General features: G+C 40.0%; 1 protein-coding gene across 4 annotated transcripts in view; it reads left to right on the forward strand.

The window, feature by feature from the left end:
- LARP1B (La ribonucleoprotein 1B) overlaps nt 1–9,583 on the forward strand; it is a 162,138-nt gene extending 152,555 nt beyond the window's left edge. For 3 of the 4 annotated variants that reach the window (XR_938753.3, XR_938754.3, NR_146772.2), the window contains 2 exons: nt 7,012–7,097; nt 9,006–9,583. Coding sequence is in view for 1 of the 4 variants with exons in the window: in XM_011532057.3 (XP_011530359.2) it covers nt 9,006–9,047 (42 nt within the window). In the remaining 3 variants the exon portion in view is untranslated. The remainder of the gene's footprint in view (nt 1–7,011; nt 7,098–9,005) is intronic. The other variant, XM_011532057.3, reaches the window with a different exon arrangement.

Raw genomic sequence — 10,779 nt, forward strand, 5'->3', positions numbered from 1 at the left:
GTTTGTAGATTGCTTGAAAATACCCCTTACGTTTTCCTTTTGGAGTGATTATCTCTTTCTGATAAATTTATGGAGTGTTTTCACTTATCAAGAATATTAACCCTTTGCTTTCTAATTTTGCTTATGTATGCTTGACATGGTATGTACTTTTTTTGGGTAAAATTTTAAAAAACTATACCCCTTAAAGAAATTCTGAATGTAAAGCTCAAGCAAATAAAAGCACTGCTATTTAATGAAAAGAAAAACATTATTGACTATAAATCTAAATGGCCCTACCCAAAATTTATGAAAGTCCCTACAGACCTTAGGGCTTCCTTTTTTATTATTTTGCACAATTTTCAATATCAAAAAAGGCAATGCTAAAAATGTTATTCAAACTCCTCCTCCTCCTTTTAAGAGATTAGTTGAAGCTGTCTTTGACATTTTCTATATAAAAGGAATTAGTGGGGGGAGGAGCCAAGATGGCTGAATAGGAACAGCTCCGGTCTACAGCTCCCAGCGTGAGCGACGCAGAAGACGGGTGATTTCTGCATTTCCATCTGAGGTACCGGGTTCATCTCACTAGGGAGTGCCAGACAGTGGGCGCAGGCCAGTGTGTGCGTGCACCGTGCGCGAGCCGAAGCAGGGCGAGGCATTGCCTCACCTGGGAAGCGCAAGGGGTCAGGGAGTTCCCTTTCCGAGTCAAAGAAAGGGGTGACGGACGCACCTGGAAAATCGGGTCACTCCCACCCGAATATTGCGCTTTTCAGACCGGCTTAAAAAACGGCGCACCACGAGACTATATCCCACACCTGGCTCAGAGGGTCCTACGCCCACGGAATCTCGCTGATTGCTAGCACAGCAGTCTGAGATCAAACTGCAAGGTGGCAACGAGGCTGGTGGAGGGGCGCCCGCCATTGCCCAGGCTTGCTTAGGTAAACAAAGCAGCCGGGAAGCTCGAACTGGGTGGAGCCCACCACAGCTCAAGGAGGCCTGCCTGCCTCTGTAGGCTCCACTTCTGGGGGCAGGGCACAGACAAACAAAAAGACAGCAGTAACCTCTGCAGACTTAAGTGTCCCTGTCTGACAGCTTTGAAGAGAGCAGTGGTTCTCCCAGCACGCAGCTGGAGATCTGAGAACTGGCAGACTGCCTCCTCAAGTGGGTCCCTGACCCCTGACCCCCGAGCAGCCTAACTGGGAGGCAGGGGCACACTGACACCTCACACGGCAGGGTATTCCAACAGACCTGCAGCTGAGGGTCCTGTCTGTTAGAAGGAAAACTAACAACCAGAAAGGACATCTACACCGAAAACCCATCTGTACATCACCATCATCAAAGACCAAAAGTAGATAAAACCACAAAGATGGGGAAAAAACAGAACAGAAAAACTGGAAACTCTAAAACGCAGAGCGCCTCTCCTCCTCCAAAGGAACGCAGTTCCTCACCAGCAACGGAACAAAGCTGGATGGAGAATGATTTTGACGAGCTGAGAGAAGAAGGCTTCAGACGATCAAATTACTCTGAGCTACGGGAGGACATTCAAACCAAAGGCAAAGAAGTTGAAAACTTTGAAAAAAATTTAGAAGAATGTATAACTAGAATAACCAATACAGAGAAGTGCTTAAAGGAGCTGATGGAGCTGAAAACCAAGGCTCGAGAACTACGTGAAGAATGCAGAAGCCTCAGGAGCCGATGCGATCAACTGGAAGAAAGGGTATCAGCAATGGAAGATGAAATGAATGAAATGAAGCGAGAAGGGAAGTTTAGAGAAAAAAGAATAAAAAGAAATGAGCAAAGCCTCCAAGAAATATGGGACTATGTGAAAAGACCAAATCTACGTCTGATTGGTGTACCTGAAAGTGATGTGGAGAATGGAACCAAGTTGGAAAACACTCTGCAGGATATTATCCAGGAGAACTTCCCCAATCTAGCAAGGCAGGCCAACGTTCAGATTCAGGAAATACAGAGAACGCCACAAAGATACTCCTCGAGAAGAGCAACTCCAAGACACATAATTGTCAGATTCACCAAAGTTGAAATGAAGGAAAAAATGTTAAGGGCAGCCAGAGAGAAAGGTCGGGTTACCCTCAAAGGAAAGCCCATCAGACTAACAGCGGATCTCTCGGCAGAAACCCTACAAGCCAGAAGAGAGTGGGGGCCAATATTCAACATTCTTAAAGAAAAGAATTTTCAACCCAGAATTTCATATCCAGCCAAACTAAGCTTCATAAGTGAAGGAGAAATAAAATACTTTATAGACAAGCAAATGCTGAGAGATTTTGTCACCACCAGGCCTGCCCTAAAAGAGCTCCTGAAGGAAGCGCTAAACATGGAAAGGAACAACCGGTACCAGCCGCTGCAAAATCATGCCAAAATGTAAAGACCGTCGAGACTAGGAAGAAACTGCATCAACTAACGAGCAAAATCACCAGCTAACATCATAATGACAGGATCAAATTCACACATAACAATATTAACTTTAAATATAAATGGACTAAATTCTGCAATTAAAAGACACAGACTGGCAAGTTGGATAAAGAGTCAAGACCCATCAGTGTGCTGTATTCAGGAAACCCATCTCACGTGCAGAGACACACATAGGCTCAAAATAAAAGGATGGAGGAAGATCTACCAAGCCAATGGAAAACAAAAAAAGGCAGGGGTTGCAATCCTAGTCTCTAATAAAACAGACTTTAAACCAACAAAGATCAAAAGAGACAAAGAAGGCCATTACATAATGGTAAAGGGATCAATTCAACAAGAGGAGCTAACTATCCTAAATATTTATGCACCCAATACAGGAGCACCCAGATTCATAAAGCAAGTCCTGAGTGACCTACAAAGAGACTTAGACTCCCACACATTAATAATGGGAGACTTTAACACCCCACTGTCAACATTAGACAGATCAACGAGACAGAAAGTCAACAAGGATACCCAGGAATTGAACTCAGCTCTGCACCAAGCGGACCTAATAGACATCTACAGAACTCTCCACCCCAAATCAACAGAATATACATTTTTTTCAGCACCACACCACACCTATTCCAAAATTGACCACATAGTTGGAAGTAAAGCTCTCCTCAGCAAATGTAAAAGAACAGAAATTATAACAAACTGTCTCTCAGACCACAGTGCAATCAAACTAGAACTCAGGATTAAGAATCTCACTCAAAGCTGCTCAACTACTTGGAAACTGAACAACCTGCTCCTGAATGACTACTGGGTACATAACGAAATGAAGGCAGAAATAAAGATGTTCTTTGAAACCAACGAGAACAAAGACACGACATACCAGAATCTCTGGGACGCATTCAAAGCAGTGTGTAGAGGGAAATTTATAGCACTAAATGCCTACAAGAGAAAGCAGGAAAGATCCAAAATTGACACCCTAACATCACAATTAAAAGAACTAGAGAAGCAAGAGCAAACACATTCAAAAGCTAGCAGAAGGCAAGAAATAACTAAGATCAGAGCAGAACTGAAGGAAATAGAGACACAAAAAACCCTTCAAAAAATCAGTGAATCCAGGAGCTGGTTTTTTGAAAGGATGAACAAAATTGATAGACCGCTAGCAAGACTAATAAAGAAAAAAAGAGAAGAATCAAATAGACACAATAAAAAATGATAAAGGGGATATCACCACCGATCCCACAGAAATACAAACTACCATCAGAGAATACTACAAACAACTCTACGCAAATAAACTAGAAAATCTAGAAGAAATGGATACATTCCTCGACACATACACTCTCCCAAGACTAAACCAGGAAGAAATTGAATCTCTGAATAGACCAATAACAGGCTCTGAAATTGTGGCAATAATCAATAGTTTACCAACCAAAAAGAGTCCAGGACCAGATGGATTCACAGCCGAATTCTGCCAGAGGTACAAGGAGGAACTGGTACCATTCCTTCTGAAACTATTCCAATCAATAGAAAAAGAGGGAATCCTCCCTAACTCATTTTATGAGGCCAGCATCATTCTGATACCAAAGCCGGGCAGAGACACAACCAAAAAAGAGAATTTTAGACCAATATCCTTGATGAACATTGATGCAAAAATCCTCAATAAAATACTGGCAAACCGAATCCAGCAGCACATCAAAAAGCTTATCCACCATGATCAAGTGGGCTTCATCCCTGGGATGCAAGGCTGGTTCAATATACACAAATCAATAAATGTAATCCAGCATATAAACAGAGCCAAAGACAAAAACCACATGATTATCTCAATAGATGCAGAAAAAGCCTTTGACAAAATTCAACAACCCTTCATGCTAAAAACTCTCAATAAATTAGGTATTGATGGGACGTATCTCAAAATAATAAGAGCTATCTATGACAAACCCACAGCCAATATCATACTGAATGGGCAAAAACTGGAAGCATTCCCTTTGAAAACTGGCACAAGACAGGGATGCCCTCTCTCACCGCTCCTATTCAACATAGTGTTGGAAGTTCTGGCCAGGGCAATCAGGCAGGAGAAGGAAATAAAGGGTATTCAATTAGGAAAAGAGGAAGTCAAATTACCCCTGTTTGCAGACGACATGATTGTTTATCTAGAAAACCCCATCGTCTCAGCCCAAAATCTCCTTAAGCTGATAAGCAACTTCAGCAAAGTCTCAGGATACAAAATCAATGTACAAAAATCACAAGCATTCTTATACACCAACAACAGACAAACAGAGAGCCAAATCATGAGTGAACTCCCATTCACAATTGCTTCAAAGAGAATAAAATACCTAGGAATCCAACTTACAAGGGATGTGAAGGACCTCTTCAAGGAGAACTACAAACCACTGCTCAAGGAAATAAAAGAGGACACAAAGAAATGGAAGAACATTCCATGCTCATGGGTAGGAAGAATCAATATTGTGAAAATGGCCATACTGCCCAAGGTAATTTACAGATTCAATGCCATCCCCATCAAGCTACCAATGACTTTCTTCACAGAATTGGAAAAAACTACTTTAAAGTTCATATGGAACCAAAAAAGAGCCCGCGTCGCCAAGTCAATCCTAAGCCAAAAGAACAAAGCTGGAGGCATCACACTACCTGACTTCAAACTATACTACAAGGCTACAGTAACCAAAACAGCATGGTACTGGTACCAAAACAGAGATATAGATCAATGGAACAGAACAGAGCCCTCAGAAATAATGCCGCATATCTACAACTATCTGATCTTTGACAAACCTGAGAAAAACAAGCAATGGGGAAAGGATTCCCTATTTAATAAATGGTGCTGGGAAAACTGGCTAGCCATATGTAGAAAGCTGAAACTGGATCCCTTCCTTACACCTTATACAAAAATCAATTCAAGATGGATTAAAGATTTAAACGTTAGACCTAAAACCATAAAACCCTAGAAGAAAACCTAGGCATTACCATTCAGGACATAGGCGTGGGCAAGGACTTCATGTCCAAAACACCAAAAGCAATGGCAACAAAAGCCAAAATTGACAAATGGGATCTAATTAAACTAAAGAGCTTCTGCACAGCAAAAGAAACTACCATCAGAGTGAACAGGCAACCTACAACATGGGAGAAAATTTTCGCAACCTACTCATCTGACAAAGGGCTAATATCCAGAATCTACAATGAACTCAAACAAATTTACAAGAAAAAAACAAACAACCCCATCAAAAAGTGGGCGAAGGACATGAACAGACACTTCTCAAAAGAAGACATTTATGCAGCCAAAAAACACATGAAAAAATGCTCATCATCACTGGCCATCAGAGAAATGCAAATCAAAACCACTATGAGATATCATCTCACAGCAGTTAGAATGGCAATCATTCAAAAGTCAGGAAACAACAGGTGCTGGAGAGGATGTGGAGAAATAGGAACACTTTGACACTGTTGGTGGGACTGTAAACTAGTTCAACCATTGTGGAAGTCAGTGTGGCAATTCCTCAGGGATCTAGAACTAGAAATACCATTTGACCCAGCCATCCCATTACTGGGTATATACCCAAATGACTATAAATCATGCTGCTATAAAGACACATGCACACGTATGTTTATTGCGGCATTATTCACAATAGCAAAGACTTGGAACCAACCCAAATGTCCAACAATGATAGACTGGATTAAGAAAATGTGGCACATATACACCATGGAATACTATGCAGCCATAAAAAATGATGAGTTCATGTCCTTTGTAGGGACATGGATGAAATTGGAAACCATCATTCTCAGTAAACTATCGCAAGAACAAAAAACCAAACACCGCATATTCTCACTCATAGGTGGGAATTGAACAATGAGATCACATGGACACAGGAAGGGGAATATCACACTCTGGGGACTGTGGTGGGGTGGGGGGAGGGGGGAGGGATAGCATTGGGAGATATACCTAATGCTAGATGACGCGTTAGTGGGTGCAGCGCACCAGCATGGCACATGTATACATAGGTAACTAACCTGCACAATGTGCACATGTACCCTAAAACTTAAAGTATAATAAAATAAATAAATAAATAAATAAATAAATAAATAAATGGAATTAGGAAGGGGGTTATGTTTATATTATTTTAGCTTTGAAATACATTTTATTTTATTTTATTTTTTTGAGACAGAGTTTCGCTCTTGTTGCCCAGGCTGGAGTGCAATGGCACGATCTCGGCTCACTGTAACCTCTGTCTACCAGGTTCAAGCGATTCTCCTGCCTCAGCCTCCTGAGTAGCTGGGATTACAGGCATGTGCCACCACGCCCGGCTAATTTTTTATTTTTAATAGAGACAGGGTTTCTCCATGTTGGTCAGGGTGGTCTCAAACTCCCGACCTCAGGTGATCCACCCACCTCAGCCTCCCAAAGTGCTGTGATTACAGGTGTGAGCCACTGCTCCTGGCTAGATTTTATTTTTTAAGCTTATGTTAGTTTGGAACTCCACTCTGACATTCTGTATGCTTCTTGCCATTTTACAAAGTAGTGTCACCACTTTCCTTTGTGTGTTTAATCTTTTCCTTCAACTAATTTCTTGGCTTTTATGTAACTATTATTTTTATTTTATTCTTGCATAGGAGGCTGATCCGATAGAGTAATACCTAATTATATCACCATGAGATGGCAAAACGGAATGTCAGATCTGTAGACTTTTGACAGGAAAGTGAGTATGTGTGTGTTTTTGAGACCTCTTACTCCATCTTGTGGTGATATCATATAATTATATCAATTACTCTTGCATTCCTAATAGTCATATGTGTGTCTCACAACTCGTTACGTGGTTAGGCATTGCCCTAGTTATTGGTAAATTTGCATTAGTTATTTGGTTATTAGTAAATATATATGATAACATTAAGACTTGTGTATAGTTAAAAATGGAAATACTTTTGCTTTGGTATTGTCCTTTCACTTAAGAGTTTGAAGTACTTCATTAGCATTATTTTTTTAACTCTTGAGATGTGAACAAAGCAAGCAGATTTTAAGGTATATCTCCTGGCTAACCTAAGCCATGTAGTTAAGTCACACAGCAAGTTAATGAATGGATCCTACCTAAAACACGATAAACTTAAAACTAGTTGTTAATCTTGTAACTAGAACAAAGTGTTATCACACAACTAGTTGAATGGCTGAGCTAGCGTTTGAACTCCAGTAGTCTGGCTTCAGAGCCCAGGCTCTTCATCTTAACCAGATTGTTCTTTAACAGCGTGAAATAGAACACAGAACCCCTGACTTTCGAACTCAACTGCAATGATTCTTAAGTATTATAAATCAAGATTGGATTCTTGTGGTTAAGACTGCATTTTTTTTTGATGATAGGCATCCTCTGCAGTAATGGAGGGTCTAATGGAGTATTTAAAAACATAAATTATGTGATAAATGATTTACAATATATGCTAAATCTTTTGGGAGGAAATTTTGATTAGGAAACAAATATCATCCATGTGTTTAAATGTTTTCCTAGAATTAGATAAGGTAAAATACAAATGAAACTGAGCATTTTATTTAGAATTTGCTTAGAAATTTTGCATTAGTTTATTTAGGGTTATTATTGACAACTGAAGATTCTGAACTGTTCGGCTTGAAGGAAATATCCCACAAGGTTAATTGATAGGAATCAATTCTGACTTTACACTCTGTGTCAGTTTTCTGAGTTCTTTACAATAAGCCTGTTTTTTCCTTGCAAATTGAGAAATACTTTGGTTAATAGAATGGTTTCTAACAATATACTGCACGTATTAGCTTCAATAAATTCTAGAAACCAGAATCCGCTGCTATTGTTTTGTTTTTTTCCAGATAGTGTTCCAAGTCTACAAAATTGAGTACCTTTCTCCATGTGTTTTAAGATTCATTAGACTTTTATTGTAACACAAACATTATCACAGTACTGTAATGCTTAATGTTAACATTTTCTGGTTTCCAGTTGAATGCCTTTAAGTATAATCTGAGGTGAGACTTATTTTAATGAGTCAGTGGATGGACTTTAAGGGAAAGGGTCTGTGAGAGCCAAAATTTAGTTAACTGCTGCTCTAGAGACAGCTTATTTGTTAGAAACATGAGTTGAATCCTGGCCCCTCTCACTAAGTTACAGTCCTTTATCTACAAAATTACACTTACCTCATAGTGTCCTGAAGAATAAATGCACAGCATGTAACACAGTGCATGGTGGTACAGTAAGCACTTAGTAAACATGAGCTATCATTAGGGCTAAGCACTGGACAAATTATCTCCAGGTATTGCAAGGTATTTTCTCCAGTAGGCTGTGAATATAATTTTAAATTTTCATGGGAAATTAATCTACTTAAAACATTTTAATTAGTAAGGAAAAGTCTGATTTTAATTGTTTTATTGTCCTAACATAGTGGTTTATGAATGCTTTTCTGCCCTTGTGGTGGTTCACTGACTTCCATGTGAGAAGTAGTAGAGTTGCTTAGATGCCGTTATTTCTACTGACCTTGACCAAGTGACAAGAGCATGATTTCCATGAAGCAGTTACCATGAATCTGAAATCACACCTTCAGTTTTAGTTCTTTCCCTTTGTTTTTTAACAATTTTGCTTATTATGTTTTCCCAGAATCACCATGATCGATTACTTCTGCTCATCATAAACATCTAGTTCCTAAGCAGGATATGAGAATCTGCCTTCCTGTGACCTCTCCTGGGCTCAGTGACACTCCAGTCGCCGCCCCACCCCACATCAATGCCACTTCCAAGTTTGACTTGCATCTTACAAACCATATTTCTGTTTACTTTTTTTCTGCCCTGGGACATTTTTAATAACTTTTAGATAACAACTTCAACAAAAATTTACCTCCCACCAAGAGAAGTTGTCTTTATTGTGAGAAGTTGTCTTTATTCCCAAGAAGGGGAATAACTTACTCTTTAAGTCAGTTTTATTACAGGTAAATTTGTACCAGCTTTTTCCTCTACTTGTGTTAAGACCTGTCTCCAATAGACATTCCAATTGAGGATTGTGGAAATAGCAAATTACATTGGTGTCTGCCCACCACTGAAGGCAAAAAGCTGGTTTATCTAGGCCACAGGCAGAGCCCGCAGGGGAGGCAGGTAACTTCTCGGACCACCAGATTATCTTGATCTTCAGCCAGCTTTATTGTTGTTCTACATTTTAATAAACACTACATGTTTATTTTATTTTATTTTATATGTGTTATGTTATGTTATGTTATTTTTTTTGAGGCAGAGTCTCCCTGTTTCTCCCAGGCTGGAGCACAGTGGTGAGATCTCGGCTCACTGCAACCTCCGCCTCCCAGGTTCAAACGACTCTCGTGCCTCAGCCTCGCGAGTAGCTGGGACTACAGACATGCACCACCATGTCCGCCTAACTTTTCTATTTTTGTAGAGATGGGGTTTTGCCAGGTTGCCCAGGATGATCTTGAACTCCTGACCTCAATTGATCCTCTCTCCTCAGCCTCCCAGAGTGCTGGGATTACAGGCGTGAGCACTGCGCGCCTGGCCTGTTTTATTATTTTGAAGATTACAGTATAGGTTTCTAGGAAGCCTGGATGGAGGTTCTCATATTCTAGGTAATATTTAGCTATTTAATAAAAATTTATTTTCAAAACCTTAAAGTTTGTGGATTACATACAATACAGTTTTTGACTTGGTGCATGAATGTATTGAAATGAACTTGATACCATTATATTCACTTTAAAGCATATCGGCACAATTTCCTAGAACCAATCTCTAATGACTATTCCTGAAACTTTTCATACTTGTCATATTTTTCCATTCAACTATGTTATTTACTTATTTATTTTAATTTTTTTGAGATGGAGTCTTGCCCTGTCACCCAGGCCGGAGTGGAGTGGTGCGATCTTGGCTCACTGCAACAGCCTGCCTCATGGCTTCGAGCGATTCTCCTGCCTCAGCCTTCTGAGTAGCTGGGGTTACAGGCGCACGCTACCACACCTGGCTAATTTTTGTGCTTTTAGTAGAGACAGGTGTCATCATGTTGGCCAGGCTGGTCTTGAACTCCTGACCTCAGGTGATCTGCCTGCCTCAGCCTCCCAAAGTGCTGGGATTACAAGCCTGAGCCACTGCACCCGGCCTTGACTATGTTATTTAAATCACTAGTGCCTAAACTTTGCTAAAGTGATATAGTAATAGCTCAAATAATCGTAATAAGGATATTTTCAGAATAAAAAAGAATATCATGGAAGTTATTACCCAAGTAAAACTTCATTCCAATCTTTGCATTTTACCTTCTCTCAACTATGAGAAGTCAGGAATATTGTCTATCTTGGTTACCATTATATTTCCAACAAAGAAGAATAAAAGAAAGAGGGAAAGAAAAGAGGAGGAAAGATGGAAGGAATATCTTGAAATCC

Source organism: Homo sapiens, chromosome 4 (genome assembly GCF_000001405.40).
Source record: "Homo sapiens chromosome 4, GRCh38.p14 Primary Assembly".
NCBI classification, from domain to species: domain Eukaryota; kingdom Metazoa; phylum Chordata; class Mammalia; order Primates; family Hominidae; genus Homo; species Homo sapiens.